Below are 21262 nucleotides of genomic sequence, written 5' to 3'. Positions count from 1 at the left end.
TCTCAAATTTATTAACTTTCTACTCTAGGCCTCAGTTTTGAATTTTGTTTCCACTCTTCCTTTTCAAAAATAGTTCAACTCTTCATGCTCAACTTTTTTAAAGTTGCAAAACCTACATAATGCATATGACAAATAATTTAATACGGACTTAATCCATGCTGTGTCAGTCAGAACAGATTCAGATGTGGTAACAAATATTCCCCAAATTTCTGGGGCCTGTAACCACAAACATTATTTCTTACTCAGGCTATATGTCCCAGACAGGTCAGTGGGAGCATCTGCTTCCTGTGTCCTCACTCAAGGACCCAGTGTGCTGGAGCCTCCGTATCAGTGGCCTTGCTCATTGTCAAGGCAGCAGAAGGGAGCCTGGGAGGTATTGCACCAGCAATTACATTCTCCAGCCTGGAGACACCCTCATCATGTCAACTACTCACAGCTCTAACCAAAGCAAGTCACGTGGCCACAAAAACAACTTCAAATCTATCCTTCTAGAAGAAAGAAAGCCAGAACTTAAGTGAACCACTTTTATCTCTACCACACAGAGAAGGCCACAGAGTTTGCCTCCAGGGTACCAGACTTAGGTATTGGATGGCATAATTCATTCCTGAAATTTTCTGAGTGCATTGTGAGGAAAGAGTAAAAAGGATCAATCCCTTTAACTAATTCTTTCAGTGACTAACTCTGGAGTATTTGTGCTCAGGATTGTGCTAGGCAATTAGGAAAATTCAAAGAATTTTAATCCCAGTGTTTTTAGGTGCTGAAGCCTAGTTGAAGGGATAGAACCTGCTTTACAGAATGGTATAGACCAGGGGTCTCCAACCCCGGTACCAGTCCGTAGCCTGTTAGGAACCAGGCCGCACAGCAGGAAGTGAGTGGCGGGCGAGCAAGGAAAGTTTCATCTGTATTTACAGCCACTACCCATCACTCACATTACCACCTGAGCTCGGCCTCCTGTCAGATCAGTGACAGCATTAGATTCTCATAGGAGCATGAACCCTATTGCAGACTGCACATGGGAGGGATCTAGGTTGCATGCTCCTTATGAAAATCTAATGCCTGATGATCTGTCATTGTTTCCCACGAACCCTAGATGGGACCCTCTAGTTGCAGGAAAACAAGCTCAACATCCCACTGATTCTACATTATGGTGAGTAGTATAATTATTTCATTATATATTACAATGTAATAATAATAGAAGTAAAGTGCACAGTAAATGTAATGTGCTTGAATCATCCCAAAACCATCCCCCCCAACCCCGCTCCAGTGTGTGGAAAAGTTTTGTCTTTCACAAAACTAATTATTGGTGCCAAAAAGGTTGGGGGTCCCTGATGTAGACCATGTAAAGGGGCAGTGGCCATACATTACAATGATGTAAGCTATGTTTTCTGAACCTGCTTGTAAACTTCAGAATCACTTGGGGAGTTGTTTTAAATAATGTACACTTGAGCTCTAGCCCTAGAGATATCAAATCTGAAAATATGTGGTAAGATGAAGATCAAGCACATAAATTTCAAAAAAAAACTCCATAGGTGATTCGGGGCCCATCCCAGGTTAAGAACCCTTGAAATATTAGAATCCAACAGTCGTGCTCTTATGGGACAAAAGAATATTACAGACAGTAAACATAAGCTGGAGTTAGAGGAGAAAGAATATGTGCCCTGTGGTCTGGGAAGGCTTCAAGCAGAAGGTAGGCCCCGGGCCCTTGAAGGATGAGTACATAGGCTTTGGCTAAGTGGTCATAAAAGGTGAGGAGAGGCCAGGATTCAGGACTAAGTGTACATATCTATAAACTGTATTAAAGGAATAAAGAATATTCCAATCTAGTGAGAACTTAAATCACAATGATAGTTGGAACTGAAGCTTTTCTGAAAAGTGAGCACTCAGATTAGAATAATATCCAAATTCTATAGAAAGGCTTTGAGTCTGGCATAGTTTCTGAGTACTTCAAACAGTGGCAGGCACGTAGTAAGTGCTTCATTAATATTTGTTGAATTAACTAAATTATTAATGAGTCAATTATGAATTGAATAACTGAGGGTTCAACTTCAAAACTCAAAGAAAGTAGTTAATGGCTGTTTACAAATCTACTTCCTCCAGAGATTAAAACAAAATGTTATATGACCCTTTAGTTCTTTTTAATAATAAATATAAGCTACTTCTACTTCCATAAAGAATTCCCAAAGCTCACTGATATGAGTTGAAAAAGCAACTGAGATTGCCTAAAAGACAAAAGCATGTCACAAAGAAGCTAACATAATATAGTGGTTAAAACCAAGAATGTTGGAGTCAAAGAGAGCGTGCTTTGTCACTTACCAGCTGTGTGACCCCGGACAAAGTCCTCAATCTCTGTGGAAAGTCAGGATAATAATATCTAATTCACAAGAATATCCAAACCATGAAACCAATTTAGAAAAATCTGGTAATGGAATGGAATAGACCAGTGCATGATAACAATTACCTAGAACTATCCCCTGTGACAGATGAGGATATCAATACACGCACTCAACTGAAGCAGCATAACATCCGCATGATAAAACTCTAAAGGTCAAACCACGCAGAGGCAAGTGACCACTACCTCAGTTGATATTGAATTTCAGAGTTTATTAATTTAAACAACTGCATTCAAAATGCTGGACATTTTGCCTGATGCTTAAACTACCTTGTTGATAGCTGAAGAAAACTCCCTGCATTCAGTTTTCACAAATCACTGATACACAGATGATTTAGCCAACAAACTTTCTTTGCATTGGCCTGACCTGTATTTACAAGGTTCTCTGTTGGCCACTCCACCTCATTCTCTTCCCAGCCCTGTGCCACTGGCTTAAACAAACACATGCATCTGCTCACAAGAAACACACTCAGGTCTTTGTCTCTTCCAGGCAAAGAAACAAAACAAACAAGTAAACAGAAAAGGTTGATATGATAAACATTGAGCCAACCACAGTTGTTGGCTAAAGGACACTAAACTGGCTAAACTAATTTAAAACATCAAAACAGGCTTGAGGGGATGAATGCACAATTTCTTGGATATGAATCCAACTGAGTGGTTCCATAGGTGGCCAAATAAAAGTAATAATAAGAGTAGTTCATGTTTTTAAGCATATACCATGTATCAGGCATTATACTGTATGCTTCGTCTGGATTATCTTGTGCTACTGACATAACAACCCAATAATATGGTACACTTTTATCCACATTTCTCCACTAGGCAGTAGTAACACTGAAACATTAAGCAATTTGCCTGCAGAAGCAGAAAATCACTAAAACTCAAGTTGTGATGCACTGACCTCATTTCCTATGCTTGGCTATTACACTTGAATCTCAGGAATGCCACGGCTATCATGCCTCTTGATTTTAACACAGCATTCAACAAAATTTCCTGAAATCTTTATGGTCAAGATCCCAAAATTTAATCTAGATATAAGGAAAAGAAAGTAAATGTGTGATATATTGATGAACGACGGTCAGGTCAATGTTGATTACTGCCATTATTTTCCTTGGATTTTATGAATGGTGGTGTCTAGTTAGGTCCTATATGGCTCTGTCTTAATCAAAACATTACTAATTTGGGATGAGGAGAGAAGAACACTTTAACACACTTACATGTAACATTTATATATTATGGATAATATTGTGAGTATTTATGAATAAGAAAATTAGGATTCAGAGACTTTCAATAGGCCATGCTTTTATTCCATGTTTGTAAACCACCTATAAAATGCCAGGCACTGTGGTAGGCACTAGAAATAGAGAGTTGAGAGGCAGAATGTCTGGACTCAAGGAATTCATAGTCTGGCCAAAAAGACTAATAGTCTACAAAATGTACAAGTTGCTATTGTTGAATTAAGTATAAGACCCAGGTTTTGGATTCAGACAACCAGCTAATCAAGGACAAGATGGGGAGTAATATGACCCAGTGGCCACTGATGTAAGAAAGACTTTGGAGATTGTTTGGCTATAAGCTCCATGATTCAAGAGCAAAATACTGCCATCAGAGGCACTAATATAGTACTGGAAGGTATTAATGACAGTGTAGTCTTCCAAAGAAAGCAGAAGATAAACTAGAGCTGTGAGAAAATTTGATCCTAGCCACAGCATTGGATTTACTTCTGAGTAACAATATCTAGGAGGTGACGAGAGATATCTACAAAGGGGAGAAGATCTAGAAACCAGTGGTAACCAAGATAATGATGACTCTAAAAATCATGCCCCATGAGGAATGGTTAAAGACAACCAAAAAAAAGGAAGAATTAGAGGAGTCTTGGTAGCTGTCTTCAAATATCTCAAGACCTGCCAGGTTAAAGGAAGATTGGACATCAGCCCCTCTCCAAAGGGTAAAATACATATCAATGAGACGAAAATGTGTAGCAAGATCTTCAAATACTACAAACACAGCAAAATCAATGGAGAGAAGACAGAAAAGCCCAAAGACAGTGGTCAGCAATTGAATCAGCTTTCTCCCTGTTTATCTTATACAGGGTGTCTGGACAAAAATAATGGTACCTAAGATGGTTTGTAAGGAGGAGACTGCAGTGAGCACCTTGTCCAGCAATCTGCACCAAAGGGAAGCATTTCATAAGCACCCCTGCACAAGAAGCCAGCTGTAGGATGGAATCTCTGTTCTCTAGGAAGCTGAGATTGGACAATCTGAGTATGAACAATACACACCTAACTGACCACAGGGCAAGAAAGAACATAGCCAAAGTCCCAGGGAAGGTCCTGTTCCTTTAGAATTTAAACTTGAGGACGTTGCTAAACCCTGAGAATTCTTCCCTGGAAATGTCTCTTGGGGCAGACTTTTCCCCTCCAACACTTGCCATGCTAGTCCTTATCACCTCAATCCCAATTCCACTACCTAGTTCCCAAGTGACATTCCTTCTGCTTTAATAGGACATTGAATTTTTGTATGGGGGGTGAGGGGATGGAGGGGGTTGGTCATGAAAGATATTTAAAGAAGATGACTTTGAAAGTCATGCAGGGAAAAAACTGAAGGAGTAATGTTGAGCCCCTCAAGATGAGAAAGTGCATTCCCACCCCTCCCTCTGTGTTCAAGACTTCCCTTGCAATGTTTCTACTCATAATAATAAACAACGGCCACCAACATTCACAGAGTGCTCACTGAATTATTCTCTAGCTTTTTTTCCTGAAATAAAGCCTTGCGATTTATCCCATCTTACAGATGAGTAAACTGAGGCACAGAGAGGTAAAGTAATCTGCCTAGGACCTCACAAATAGGGGTAACTCTTGGTTTCCCTCCTCCCCCATCTGAACACAACCTGCCTCTGAATTCAACCAGCTATGCCAGTTTGCCAACTAAATACCTAACTGTTTCTTATGTCAATTCAAGGCCTTTAAAACCAATAATCCTTCATCATATTTTAAATAATGAGATTATGTATAGTGGAAATAACCCTGAGTTGAGACTTGTTTTCAAGTGACTTCAACAGTGTTTTGGTTGTTTTTCTTCCCTGGGCCTCAGTTTCTTGTGAAATGAAATCTGGTTTCTTGATGGAAAGGGCCTCACAGGTCTCAGGCCGTCTGGCTCCTGGTTGCAGTCAGTTGAATGCAGCACAAGCAAAAATCATAGTTTAATAGAAAATATCACTAAGCCATTTACATTCATCTTTTCTTTTTACCATTACAAAGTCAAGCTAACCCCAGTCATATCACGTTGAAGAAAAATCCCAACCTTTTCTGACTTTGGCAAACCCGTGTTGAGAAAGTAGAGAGAACTTGCGGCAGGGCCGCCCAGCGCGGCGGGGACAGCCGGGGGACGCACCGAGGCCACCGTGCTCGCGCAGCCCCGGGTTCTCACCCAGGCCAAGCCTGGCACTTGGCAACCGCATTATCCTCTCCCTGAGCCTCTCCTTTCGGGTCCAGAGCTGCGCGGATTCGAGACAATCCCTGGATCAGACTGACCTCTAGGGGCAGCGCGGCAATCCGCAGCCAGGCTCCCGCGCACACAAAAGGAGACACCGAAGGCTTCCAGCTGGAGCCGGCCAAGAAAATCTGCGTGGAGTGCTCTCAGATGCAGACACCACAAAGCCAAAACATTAACATTTTGCTTGCTATTTATTCAGCTTCTCTGTCTTTAATTCCCCCTCGCCAAGTAGCCTCCAAATGTGTCTCTTCGAGTATCAAAGTGATCACTTTGGATTAAAGTATTCTTTCTCAAAAGACACCTTAATTAAAATGTGTGTGGTGGGGGAGGAGGTGGGGAGAAACCTCTGTACTTTTCATTTTTCTTATGAGGAAAAGAAATGAAATGAAGTAAATGGTTAAAGGAAGTTGGGGGGGGCGCCTTTTGCAGCATGAGATAGAAAATGTTATTTTAAAGCTATTTCTTTCTCGTAATTGTTTAAATACTTTGAATGGTGATGGCAAGAATATAGCAGCAGTAGCAGGTAACATTTACTGAGTGATTAGTATGTGCTAGGCATTAGTTCTAAGCGCTTTCATTTATTATGCATATTTTATTATGAGGCAACTAAGGCACAGAGAGGCAAAGTGACTTGTCCAAGGTCACACAGTTGGCAGGCTGCAGTGAGGATTCTACTCCAAACGGTCACACTCATAGCCTCCTCTTTTTTCTTTTTTTTTTTTTTTTTTTTTTTTTTTTTTTTTTTTTTGAGATGGAGTCTCGCTCTGTCGCCCAGGCTGGAGTGCAGTGGCGCGATCTCGGCTCACTGCAAGCTCCGCCTCCTGGGTTCACGCCATTCTCCTCCCTCAGCCTCCCGAGTAGCTGGGATTACAGGTGCCCGCCACCAAGCCCGGCTAATTTTTTGTGCATTTTTAGTAGAGACGGGGTTTCACCATGTTAGCCAGGATGGTCTCAATCTCCTGACCTCGTGATCTGCCCGCCTCGGCCTCCCAAAGCGCTGGGATTACAGGAGTGAGCCACCGCGCCCAGCCGCCTCCTCTCTTGACTACTATACTGCAATCTCTTTTAAGCTGCAGCTCTCAAGGCATTTTTCAAAACTGAATTTACACTCTCAACACCTTCACCCATTAATGGAAAAGCTCTGCTAACACCTAGTAACTCAGCACCCCAGTTCACAAGGAAAAGTCAAGGTTTCTCATGGAGGAAAGGGAGTGGTGTTTTCCATAGGGCTGGATCACTGTGATAGGTAAGGACCCAACTCTAAAGATCAATCCCAGTGATTCGGGGCATCACTTACAAGTTCTTTGAGTGAAGTTCTTAAATTATTGGCTTCAGTGTTCTCATCTCTGGAAGGAGAATAGTAAAATACCTTTGTCATAAAGTTCTTGTGAAATGATACGAGATAATGCACGCTAAAGTCTTAGTACAGTGCCTGGCACAGGCTAAGCAATCAAAAAGGTACCTAGTTATTTAGCGTGGTTCTTACTGTTGTTTGTTATTAAAACCTCCCTAGGCAGGTTCAGGGTGATGGAGAAAAAGATGTTTATAAAGTTGATCTCCAAAGAGAAGAAGCAAGAGGAGATATATATATATATATATATATATATATATATATATATATATATGTGAAAGAGAGGGAGATGAGAGTGTATTTCTTAGGGGGATTAGCTCATGCTGGGTTGGGGAAGTGCGCTGAGAAGTCCCACAGTAGGCTGACTGCAAGCTTGAGAACCAGGGAAGCTGGTAGCATCCTCAGTGCAAGTCCAAAGGCCTCAGACTCAGGGAAGTAGGTGGTGTAACTCTCAGGCCAAGGCTAAAGGCCTGAGAACCTGGGGGACAACCAGTCCCAGAATCCAGAAGCTGGAGAACCTGGAGTTCTGATGTCCAAGGGCAGGTAAAGAATGATATTCCAGCTCCAGAAAAAGAGAGAAAGAATTCACCTTTCCTCTGCATTTTTGTTCTAGCTAGGCCCCCAGCCAACTGGATGGGGCCCACCCACATTGGCCAAGGGTGGTTCTTCCTTACTTAGTCCACCAACTTTATCTCTTCCGGAGACACCCACACAGGCACACCCAGAAATAACGTTTTACCAGCTATCTGAGTATCCCTTAATCCAGTCAAGTAGACACCTAAATTTAACCATCACTAAGAGGAAAGGAAGACTCATACCTACAAAGCGCTGATGCCAGGCAAAAACTTATTCTCAAGAAAATATCACTGCAGTAGACCCTGAGGAGGAGTATGCAACCTGTGGTGGGCGAGGTGACTCATGCCCCCCGTACACTGAGAACCATGCCCAGGACTCAATGATTAAAAAATATTTCTTGACATTGCCTATGAATGATTCTCTTCAAAAATTTTAAGCCTGAGCCTGATCAAGCCTGTAGACCTAACTACCAATTTCTGAGTAACACAAAAAACAGAAGAACAAACTAAACCATGCCATGGTATGCAATCAGCAAAAAGCAGACTGTGGGGGAAATCTACAGGACAAAGGATCCAGTTTCTTTAAGAAATAAATTACAAGGAAGAAAAGAGGGAGCGGGAATGTATTTATTAAAATAGACTGAAGAGACATAGCAACCAAATAAAATATGCGGACTTTGAATCCTGATTTGAATACACCAACTACAAAAAATATTTAACAGACATTTATGAGACAATTGGGGAAACTTAAACATTGACTAGATCCTTGATATTCAAAAATGACTTTACTTTTTAGAAGTGGTAATAGTATTGTGATTGTTTTTTAAATGAGTCCTTATCTTTTGGAATTACTTACTGAAGTATTTGTAGATGAAATGGCATAATATCTGGGATCTGGTTCAAAATAATCCATTTAGGGGTGAGGTTAAAACAAGATTGGCTACGTACTGGTTCATTGCAGTAGCTGGGTGATGGGTACATGAACGTTCATTTCACTCTTCTCTGTATTTTTGGCATATATATGAAATTTTCCATGTATTTTTTTGAAAGACTGATCTAACCATGGGTAAGTAAGGAATCAGGTGTAAAGTCCTACATGTCTTCAAGTACAGATGTAGGAATACCTGAGTATACTGTAAGGAAAAGGGAACAATCCAGACCCCCACAGGTGACATAAAGGGAGTTAGTGACACACATGTTTGGGTAGAAATATTAAGGCCTGATTCTGAAGAACCATGTACCAATGGTAAAAAGAGCAGCTGGCAGCCTGTGACAATTACTATATGTAAAGCATATATTTCCTCATTTAAACTCTATAACCACTCTCTAATGTTGGATCAATAATTAATTCCAGGCTCCCCACCACGGCTCATGCCTGTAATCCCAGCACTTTGAGAGGTCAAGGCGGGTGGATCTCCTGAGGTCAGGAGTTTGATTCCAGCCTGGCCAACATGGTGAAACCCTGTCTGAACTAAAAATACAAAAATTAGCCGGGCATGGTGATGGACACCTGTAATCCCAGCTACTCTGGGAGGCTGAGGCAGAAGAATTGCTTGAACTCGGGAGGCAGATGTTGCAGTGAGCTGATATCGCACCACTGCACTCTAGCCTAGGCAATACAGTGAGACTCCGTCTCAAAAAAAAATAATAATTATTATACTTTACAGAAGAAGAAAGAGAGGCTTGCAGAAGTGGTGCAACTTATGCAAGAGCACAGTTAGCAAGCTGCAGAGCCAAGATCCAACCCCAAAGAGTCTGTCTAAACAGCCCACAGTATTAACCACTGCTGGTAGGCAGTGAGGGCCAATGTAAGATCTGGGCTTGGGCTTAGTCAGAGCTGTGCTTCGTGAAGATTTATCTGGCAGTGGCATGTGATATGGCTCGGAAAGGAAAGATACTAAAAGTAGAAAAAACAAAAGATATTGTAGTTGTTCCATATGACAATAGTGAAAGCTTGAAGAAAGAATAAGAAAGAAAAGAGAAAGGCTGATATCAGAAATGAAGACAGTAACAACACATAAGGATCAACAGCAGATTGGATAGAAAAGATGAGGGAAAGGAAGCAAAGATAGCTCTGAACACTGGAGGATCTTGAGAAAGAAGAAAACTGCTGGTACTATGGGGAGAAGCACATATATATGCTATTATATTTGAGGTAGCTATGCTTCCCTGAAAATTATTTGCTATAGGGTATGCAGTATTCAGATTTCTTTTTACAAAATGATCCTTTGCTTCTTGATTTATACATCATTATCTATTTAATTTTAGCTATGAAGTTTAAAATAGACATCTCTTTTCAAGGGAGAAATAATCAGGCTTTGATATATGTTTTTGTCTCAAAATTTCAGGGACACCATTGGATTCTAGTCTGTGAAAATGGTACTCCCAGGAGCATGGGGCCTTGTGGACAGATCTGGACAAAACAGAGCCAGACCACCTGGAGCTTGTTTGTTGAGGTAGAGCCTACATGTGCAGGCAGAAAATCAGAATCCCTGGGGCTTCTGGTGATCTCTCTGTGCTTGAGTTACTAGAGGTGGAAAGAACTTTCATCTTCTACAAGATGAGTGTGAGGTCCAGAAAAGTAAGCAGCTGTCACAAAGCCACACTGCTAGATGTTGGCAGCAGCAGCCTGGAAGTCAGGGCTCCTGTTGCTCTGTGTTGTGCTATTTGAACTCCACCATCTATCCATGGGGCTTGAGTATCCTAAAACACAGCACCCAGGAGCAATAACAGTGTTCTTAAGAATACCTCCAGTGAACTACTAATTTCTCACATTTTTCAGATTAAGAAACCAAGAATCGAAAGCCACATTTGCAATTGAGGTACCAGTATGCTGACTTGGCTGGTTGACAGTTGGGCCTTCCAAGGATACATCCATTAATTTTAACAAGAATGAACATGATTAATTGTTGTCACTCTGGGGAGGGGTGCCTTAGCCCCTTGCTCCCAGGCTCAACAGCTCAGCATGAATATGTTCTCCACCTACTTGGGGAAAGCATGATGCCAGGTTCTGAAATAATGAACTTGACCTAATTCTATCTCCACTGCATGAAAAGATGATCTTAGAGAGGTTTTGTTTGTTTATTTAAGGGCCTGTTGATAAGTTAGCAAGTGCAGATTTACTAAGCCCTATACAAATGTCCAAAAACTCAGCCTGTGTTGGGAAAGTCCCCAAACTCAGGGCAGGTAGGAGAGCCTGATCCAGCATCTTGGCCCAGCATCCTGATGGAGTTACACTGGGATCAATGGCAGAGTCTTCTGGTGCCAAGCCTGCCTGAGGCACTCAAAGACATCTGGTCACTCTTTTGAAAAGGCAGAGACTCAAAACAACAGGGAAATTTATTTAAAGGAGCAGGACGAGCTGCTCCATGCTGCTGTTGGTTGATCTCAGCAGAATATGTGTGTCATCAAAGATAGGCAGAGAACACCAAGAAGTAGACCCAAGCTTCCTGTCAACCACAGCTTTGCATCTGGAGCAGGTTGAATAGTAAGCCCTTCGGGTCTGCTAAGAACTCACCGAAATGGGAAGGAAGCACACAGCAATGTACCTAACAGCAATGATCCATCATGCCAATAGGAATCAGGGTAACCTCTGCCACCTGGGATGCCCCATGCAATTTCATTCCAGAGACGTGCAGAGGAACACCTCTCCTGCAAGGACTTCATCCATGGGCAAAGGGGCAGCTTCAGGCTGAGACTGACAGTCTGCCATGTGAGAATTTGGATATAAAATTGGAGTGATAGTTGATCAATGTATATTATGGATGACTGACATCACTCATCTATTCACTTTCTGGGCCAGCTACTGTGCTAAACACTAGATACCACAAGAATAAAAAGGGTGTTGGTCCCTACCCTGGACGACTTAATAATTGAGTGAAGGGTACAAACAAACTCTTATTTATAGTGTGTGATTGGGTCTATAATAGAGGCATGAAAAAGAAGTGCTGTGGGAACTTAGAGGGGAAAGTAACTAACACTACTTGGGGGAAAAAATGGTCAAGGAAGGCTGCACGATGGGAACGACAACTGAGTAGACATCACATGAGATTAATTCACCAGATTGGGAGAAATAGCATTCCCAGGAGTAGGAATGGCATGTGCAATGGTGCAGCAGGGTTGAAAATGGAAGGAATAGAATCTTAGACCTCTTGTTATGGCTTTATAACCTTCCATATCAGATGGCTAATAGGTCTAATTGTGGTCTCTCCCAAATATATAATTTAGTTCACTCTTATCATTTTCATTAGTGCTGACTCCTACAATTGCTCATTTGTGGACAATTATAAAGTGAGCAAGGTGGTGGAAAAATGAGGCTTTCCTTTAACTTACAAAAGTACAAGGAAATAAACTTTCAATGTATGGAGTTAAAATAGCCACTATGAAGCAACTCCCTCCCACTCAGCTCCTTAGACATATCAGAACTTAAGAATTATTTGTAGCTAAGCATATACTTTGATGACCATCTCTCAGCATTGCAAAAGCAAGGAGGTCATCAGTAGCTAGAATTTTGTAGTTTCCCACAAAAATTTCCAGTCACCTTGGATTGTTCCGTCATGCCATTTTCCAGAAAAGGCTCACTGCTTGCTTATTCCTTCTTGCAATGAAAGGTGTTATGCTCTCTGCAAAATTCTATTTTTATTTTAAATGCTCAGTTGGGAACTTTAAACTTTGTTTTGCTAAGTCATTTGTAACTGAAGCTGAACAAATAACATATGATCCAAATTCTATAAATTTTTCTCCTAGCTTCAAAGACTTCCACTCCCAAGAGCTTGAACTCTGGCAATTGAGACAGTCATGTGGTTAGAACGTGTTGCAGGGATAAGGGTAAAAATTTCCATAAGAATAGCATTCAGGGCTAACACAGTTCCACCATCACAATTGGAACACTCCCCTCTGACCCCAGCCCTTCTGTCTGCATTTTTGCTATCCTTGTCAGCCATTTTGGTTCTCACAGCAACCCCAGCAGGAAAGGAGCTAAGGACAGGAGTGGAAAATGGAAAGAGAAGCCCCCTAAAATATAAAAACACTACAGAATTTCCCTTATGGTATCCCTGCATAGAGTCCACCAAATAATAGCATTTATTGACCATTTACCATGTGCCAAGCACTGGGAATACTAAGGCAAACAAAAAAGCTCCTGAGCCTCATGAAGCATACATTCCTGTGGGGAAGATAGAAAATACATACCGTACTGCCAGGCATTTATAAGAAGAAATGTCAAAATGTCAAGCTGGCTAAACAGATAGAGAGTTATAGTGTAGGAGAGGTCTTTTTTGTTCAGAGGATCAGGGCAAGCCTCTTTTGGAGATAATATTTGAACAGAAATTTGACTGAAGTGAGGAACAATCCAGGCAAATACTTGATGGAAATTACTGGATTATTTTTGGGGAGAGAACTGTTTAAGTGCCTATGCCCAGAGTAGGATAGTGGAGGCAGGCACAAGTTTCCCAGCATCAAAATCAGATATGATCACTCCTTGTGATATCCTTCCTATGAGATCTCCTGGTCTGCACCCCAACTCTGTTTTGGCCTTGATAATGGTTAAGATTAACATGATTTTAATAAGGTTAACATGTTTCATAAGCTCTGAAATTATCAAAGGAATGAATCTGTGATCCTAAGACCATATTCTACATAGAGCAGAGAAGAGCCCATTCAAATTTAAAACAAGTACATGAAGAACTTCTTTTGACATGGATCTGCATTCATTTATTTCTATCAATAAGATACATGCATGATAACGTCGATTTCTGAAGCTTGTTATGAAAGTAGTAATATATTGTACTTCCTTGGATGATTCTCCCTGCTTAACTTTTCTGTCTCTTTATTCTTTATTTTCATGTTATAGGATATATATTTAAGTTTATCTTTCAATTATTTAAAATTTTTAATTTTAGGAAAAGATGCTTAATTTCCAAGAGCTCTTTTATATTCTATGATTGTTCCTTTTTCATATCACAATGTTCTTATTTTATAGATACAAAACCTTCTTGAACCTCTCAAAGCATATTAAGTAGAGGATTTAAAAAAAAAAACTTCTTCTATTCTCTTATTTAGCAGTTTTCTTCTAGGATTACTGTTCTATTTGGTCTATCATGGATTTCATTTTTATGTTGCTGTTTTCTTTGTATCCAGTGATAACTGATGTAAAACTGGATTTATTTTTCAATGTCACTGGTGGTATACTCTTTGTTGTTGTAAATGGACATCTCCCTTTCCATCACCTTATGCCTAGGTCTTTTCCAATAATAGAAAAAAAAATCCATACATATCATTATTAATCTTGAATGTAAATGGGCTAAATGCCCTCAATTAAAAGGCACAAAGTGGCAAGTTGGATAAAAAAGCAAGACTCAACAGTATGCTGTCTTCAAGAGACCCATCTCACATGCAATGACATCCATAGGCCCAAAGTAAAGGGATAGAGAATAAAATCTACAAAGCAAACAGAAAACAGAAAAAAATCAGGGCTTGCTATTTCTAATTTCAGACAAAACAGAATTTAAACCAACAACTAGCAAAAAAGATAAAGAAGGGTATTACATGATGGTAAAGTGTTCTCTTCTATAAGAAGAATTAAATATTCTAAATATTAATATATATAGAGAGAGATGTGCCAAATACAGGGGCATGTGGATTTATAAAACAAGTTCTTGGAGACCTATAAAGACACTTAGATAACCACACACTATCAGTGGGAGACTTCAACACCTGACTGACATTATAGATAGGTCATCAAGGCAGAAAAATAACAAGGATATTCAGCACTTGAACTAAACACTTGACCAAAGGGACCTAACAGCCATCTACAGAACTCTCCACCTAAAAACAACAGAATATACATACTTCTCATCTACACATGGCACATACTCTAAAATCGACCCACACGATCAGCCATAAAACAATTCCCCACAAATTCCAAAAAGCCAAAATCTTACCAACTACACTCTTGAACCACAGCACAATAAAAATAGAAATCAATACTAAGAAGATCACCCAAAACAATACAATTACATGGAAATTAAACAACCTTCTCCTGAATAACTTTTGGGCAACAATGAAATTAAGGTAGAAATCAAGAAATTCTTTGAAACTAACCAGAACAAAGATACAACATACCAGAATCTCTAGGACACAGCTAAAGCAGTGTTAAGAAGAAAGTTTATAGCACTAAACACCCACATCAAAAAGTTAGAAAGATCTCAAATTAACAACCTAACATTACACCTGGAGAAACTAATAAAACAAGAGCAAACCAACTCCAAAGCTAGCAGAAGACAAGAAATAACCAATATCAGAGCTTAACTAAATAAAATTGAGACACAGAAAAACATGCAAAAGATCAACGATTCCAGGAGTTGACTATTTGAAAGAATAAATAAGATTGATAGATTACTAGCTAGACTAATAAAGAAAAAAAGAGAGAAGATCCAAATAATCACAATTAGAAATGACAAAGGAGACATTACCACTAACCCCACAGAAATACAAAATAAGAGACTATTACAAACACCTCTATGCACACAAATTGGAAAACTTAGAAGAAATAAGCAGGGCACAGTGACTCATGGCTGTAAACCCAGCACTTTGGGAGGCCAAAGTGGGAGGATTAGTTGAGCCGAGGAGTTTGAGACCAGTTTGGACAACATGGTGAAACCCCATCTCAACAACAACAACAACAACAAAAAGCCAAGCATGGCAGTGCATGCCTGTAGTCTCACCTACTTGAGGCTGAGGTGGGAGAATCACTTGTGCCCAGGAGGTCAAGGCTTCAGTGAGCCATGATCATGCCACTACACTCCAGCCTGGGCCACAGAGTGAGGCCCTATCTCAAAAAAAGAAAAAAGGAAAAAAGAAAGCCCAGAAGAAATGGATAAATTCCTGAAAACATACAACCTTGCAAGATTGAACCAGGAAGAAATTGAATCCCTGAACCAATCAATAGTGAGTTCTGAAATTGAATTAGTAATAAAAACCCTTCCAACCAGAAAAAACCCAGAACCAAAACAGATTCACAGCCAAGTTCTAGCAGAGGTACAGAAATGCTGGTACCATTCCTACTGAAACTACTTCAAAAAATTGAGGAGGAGGGGCTTCTTCCTAACTCATCCTATAAGGCCAGCATCATACTGATACTAAAACCTGGCAGCAACACAACAACAATAAAAAAAGAAAATTTCAGGACAATACCCTTGATGAACATAGATGCAAAAATCTCCAACAAAATACTAGCAAATCAAATCCAGCAGCACATCAAAAAGCAAATCCACTATGATCAAGTAGGCTTTATCCCTGAGATGCAAGGTGGGTTCAACATATGCAAATCATTAAATGTGATTCAGCACATAAACAGAACTAAAAATAAAAACCATGTGATCATCTCAATAGATGCAGAACAGGTTTTCAATAAAATTCAACGTCCCTTCATGTTAAAAACCTTCAACAAACTAGGCACTGAAGAAATACACCTCAAAACAATCAGAGCCACCTCTGACAAACACACAGCCAACATCATACACTGAATGGGCAAAAGCTGGCAGCATTCCCCTTGAGAACCAGAACAAGACAAGGATGCCCACTTTCACCACTCCTATTCAACATAGTACTGGAAGTCCTCGCCAGAGTAATCATGCAAGAGAAAGAAATAAAAGACACCCCGACATTCAAATAGCAAGAGAGGAAGTCAAACTCTCTGTTTGCAGACAATATGATTCTATGCCTAGAAAACCCCACAGTCTCAGCCCAAAAGCTCCTAGATCTGAAGAACAACTTTAGCAAAGTTTCAGGATACAAAATCAATGTACAAAAATCAGTAGCATTTCAACAATGTTCAGACTTCAGGCTGAGAGCCAAATTAAGACTGCAATTTCATTCACAATAGCCACAAAAAGAATAACATACCTAGGGTTACAGCTAACCAGAGAGGTGAAAGATCTCTACAACAAGGATTACGAAACACTGCTGAAAGAAATCAGAGATGACGCAAACAAGTGGAAAAACATTCCATGTTCATGGATAGGAAGAATCAATATTGTTTAAATGGCCATACTGCCCACAATAATTTACAGATTCAGTGTTATTTTTATCAAACTCCCAATGACATTCTTCACAGAATTAGGGAAAAAACTTTTAAAATTCATATAGAACCCAAAAAGAGCCTGAATAGCCAAGGCAATCCTAAGCAAAAAGAACAAAGCTGGAGGCATCACATTACCCAAATTCAAACTATACTACAAGGCTACAGTAACCAAAACAGCCTGGTATTGGTACAAAAACAGACACACAGACCAATGGAAAAGAATAGAGAGCCCAGAAATAAAACCACACACCTACAACTATCTGATCTTTGATGAAGTCAACAAAAACAAGCAATGGGGAAAGAATTCCCTATTCAATAAATGGTGCTGGGATAACTGGCTAGCCATAGGCAGAAGATTGAAACTGGGCCTCTTCATTATACCATATACAAAAATCAATTCAAGATGGATAAAAGACTAAGTGTAAAACCTAAAATTATAAAAAACCCTTGAAGATAACATAGGAAATACCCATTCTGGACATAGGGCCAGACAAACATTTCATGACAAAGATGCCAAAAGCAATTGAACAAAACCCAAAATTGACAAATGGGATCTAATTAAATGAAAAAGCTTCTGCACAGCAAAAGAAACTATCAACAGAGTAAACAGACAACTTATGGAATGGAAGAAAACATTTGCAAACTATGCATCTGAAAAAGGTCTAATTTCCAGAATTTATAAGGAACTTAAACAAACTAACAAGCAAAAAATAAACAACCCCATTAAAAAGTAGGCAAAGGGCATGAGCAGATATTTTTCAAAATAAGAAATACACATGGCCAACAAGCATATGAAAAAAATGCTTGACACCACTAATCAGTAGAGAAATGCAAATCTAAACCACAATGAGATACCATTTACACCAATGGGTATTACTAAAAAGTCAAATGGCTATTACCAAAAGGTCAAAAAATAACAGATTTTGGGAAGGTTGAGGAGAAATGGAATGCTTATACACTGCTGGTGGAAGTGTAAATTAGTTCAGTCATTGTGTAAAACAGCTAGTGATTTCTCAAAGAACTTGGAAGTACCATTTGACCTAGCAATCCCAATATTGGGTGTGTGTATATATATATTTATATATGTGTGTGGTGTGTATATATATATATGGAATATAAATAATTCATATTTATATTCCATATATGTGTGTTCACTGCAGCACTATTCACAACAGCAAAGACATGGAATCAACCTAAATGCTCATCAGTGATAGACTAGATAAAGAAAATATGGTACATATACACCAGGGAATACTACAGTCATAAAAAATAACAAAACCGTGTCCTTTGCAGCAACATGGAGGAAGCTAGAGGCCAGTATCCTAAGTAAACTAACATATGAACAAAAAACCAAATACTGCATGTTGTCACTTATAAGTGGGAGCTAACGTTGAGCACATATGGACACAAACAAGAATACAACAGATACTGTGGCCTACTTGAGGGTGGAGGATAAGAGGAGGGTGAGGATTGAAAAACTGTCTATTCAGTACTATGCTTATTACCCAGGCAAGAAAATAATCTGTACACCAAACCTCCAAGACACATAATTTACCTGTATAACAAACCTGCACACATACCCCTGAACCTAAAATAAAAGTTAAAAAAAAAAAAGAAAAGCTGACTAGTTTTGTACATATGGGTGGGGCTGTCACTGTCATCTACCCCGTAGCCCTAATTCTCTCCAGAAACCTTATCCAATTTCTTTAGGTGAAATTGATGCACTGCCCAGAATAGGCTTGGGGGTAAAAACCAAGGCTGCTTGCCCTCTGTGCGGAAAGGAAAAGGTAAGGTGGAGGGGGCAGGAGCAGTACACAAATTCTATCCAGTGCTTCTTAAATGGAGGTAGTAATAATTTTCATTTGGAAAAAGGGGCACATTTTAGTCAACTAGAAAATCATTGGTGCTAGTATTTAATGGGAGGGTCCAGGGATCTCAAATTGTAACACACAGGACTGTTCCATTTAATGAAAACTGGTACAGTATAAAATGCCAATAGTTTCTCCACTGAGAAACTGCTAGACAGGCTTTCAACTAACTGCATCCCTCTCCCCACCAGCATTTCCAGCTTTCCTTCTCACTCACACCAACATCAGCTCCTAATCCTGAAGGCCCTCTGGGTTTCGGTCCAGAGAGCAGAGTGATGCTCTCTGGTGGTATGGGCACCTCTGGATAGTCCAGGCTACAGATTTCCTGCTCTATTTTAACTATCATTGGGCTTCCACTTTTTCATTACACACAAATTCACTGAAAGCACTATTTGCTATTAATCGCCCTTTTTTCTCTTTGCTATTATGGGATTATTCCTACATGACCATTTCACTGAGGCTTCAAGAAAGAAAAAGGGATAATAACTTGGCCTCCATCCAACATCATGACTATTTTTGTTCTATCAACCTAAGTCAGTATCTTAACTTCCTTCTAAATGCAAAGAAGATATTAGTACACTTCTCATTCTTTCTAACACCCTCTCCTTTCACCTTCTACCCTGTATGTAACTTGTACTTGACCATTGTTAATTTCATTACCATTTACATTGATTTCTGCATCTGCAAACAAATCATCTATTCTTTGTTCATAAGTGGACTCTAAAAGTTGATAATTTTTAAGTTGCATTTAAATTTAAATATTATTTATAGCTGTCCAACATAGAGTTGCATCACATTTTCTGTAGACTCAATGTCCTAACTTCTGGACATTCAATAGAGAATACTTGTGGAGCAAGATTAAATGGATTCTTTCTTTGTCTCTGCCTTGTTTCTGCCTTTCTGCTTTTTTTCCTTTTTTTTTTTTTTTTTTTTTTTTTGCCTTCCTTCCTTCTTTCTTTTATTCTTCTCTCCATTGCTTGCTTATAATCCTGCCAATTTTTGTTTGCTTAATGTTTGGATTATACATTTGCAGCAACTTTTAATTCATCTTAGAGTTTCTCATGGCCATTCTCTTTATTCGTGTATAATGAGCCTTTTTCTTGGGTTTCTCTCTTCTCTCATTTATGCTGTCTTTTGCATCATTTACCAAGAGATCTCCTTCCTGGACCCTCTGCCTTCTGCACAACTCCCCCCCTGCTTGGATTTCTTTCACTAGGTATGTCCCTTTCTCTATTTTTGTCTGTTTGCTCCTTTATTTTTACTTCAGGCAAATTTATATGAAAGGCCTATGAGAAGCAATTATTCCTAATCCTTATCTATCTAGGAATGCCTTACTTCAGCTTTCATTTTTGATTGGTAGTTTGATTGGGTATGAAATTCTAAGATTAAAGTCATTTTCTCTCAGTATTTTGAATAAAGTTCCCATTTTCTTGGAGCATCAGTACTACTAATGAGATATTTGGTGCCAGTTTGATTCTCGTTCCTTTGAAGAACTGTTTTGTTTTTTCTCCTTTGAAACTTTTAGGGTCTGTATCGCATTTTATCTCTGGTGTTCTAAACTTTCACTATCTTATTTTCTCACATCTGATTGTGTTCTAAGGGAACCATGAAGGCTCATGTCTTTCTGAATTTTGAGAAATATTTTCTTGTTATTCCTCTGAAAAATCTTAGCATTCCACTTTTTCTCTTGTCTCTGTACCTGATATTAAATGAATGTTGAATCTCATGGATTGATTCACTGTCTCCTTTTATCTCATGTTTTTCATCTTATGCCATTGTTCTATGTTCTGAGAGATTGTTTCAGTTCTATTTTCAAACCTATCTATGAAGTGTTTTACTTAACAAGTCATGCCTCTAGTTTTCAATAGTTCTTTCGTATCCTGATTCTTCCTCATAGCAGCTTATTTTTGGTTATTTGTTGTTACTGTTTGTTTATTGTTTGGTTTTTGCTTAGGTTTTTATTATAATCCTCTTTAAGAACTATAATCATAATTTTTAAAGTTTTTTCTTTAAAGCTTCCTAAATTACATGCATGCTTTCTCTTATAGTTTGTTCTATTTGTTTCTCTTGGTCCTTCTTTTTTATGTTACAAGTTTTTCTCAACAAAACTTGACGATGCTTGTTTTTTCACATTCATAAATAAAGGACTGGATTGGTGACTGAGATGGATTACTTTGGGTCTCAGGAAGATATATTTTCCTAACAGACGTGTCCTCTGCATGGGACCTCTGTGCACATGGACAGCCTATATCCAGTGGCCAACTCTTCTCCATGTAAGGTTGTTAAGTGGGTTGGGTAGGTTAGACCAGGCCATCCCTGCCTCTACCTTCTCTCTGCTCGTGACAAAACAGAAGTCCAATTCCCACAGTAGAAGTCAATGTCCTCCCTACACAAATAATTTTATTTCAGTTGAGAGCAGGTTTTTAGTTTTTTTATTATTATTTGTGCAAATTTATGGGGTACATGTGCAATTTTGTTACATGCATAGTGGTCAAGTCAGGACTT

General features: G+C 39.4%; 1 long non-coding RNA gene across 2 annotated transcripts in view; it reads right to left on the bottom strand.

Moving 5' to 3' along the window:
• The window catches only part of LOC107986781 (uncharacterized), a 73782-nt gene that overhangs the window by 9402 nt on the left and 43118 nt on the right, over positions 1 to 21262 (bottom strand). Inside the window, exon 3 of one of the 2 annotated variants that reach the window (XR_001745160.2) lies at positions 3312 to 3414. The exons of the other annotated variant lie outside the window; for it this stretch is intronic. This is a non-coding gene — a long non-coding RNA (uncharacterized LOC107986781). Of the gene's footprint in view, positions 1 to 3311; positions 3415 to 21262 lie in introns of those variants that run through there. 2 annotated transcript variants of the gene reach the window in all.

The sequence above is a fragment of the Homo sapiens genome, chromosome 7 (assembly GCF_000001405.40).
Source record: "Homo sapiens chromosome 7, GRCh38.p14 Primary Assembly".
NCBI classification, from domain to species: domain Eukaryota; kingdom Metazoa; phylum Chordata; class Mammalia; order Primates; family Hominidae; genus Homo; species Homo sapiens.
Note: the sequence above shows the minus strand (reverse complement) of the source record. Positions and strands in the feature narration are given on the sequence as shown.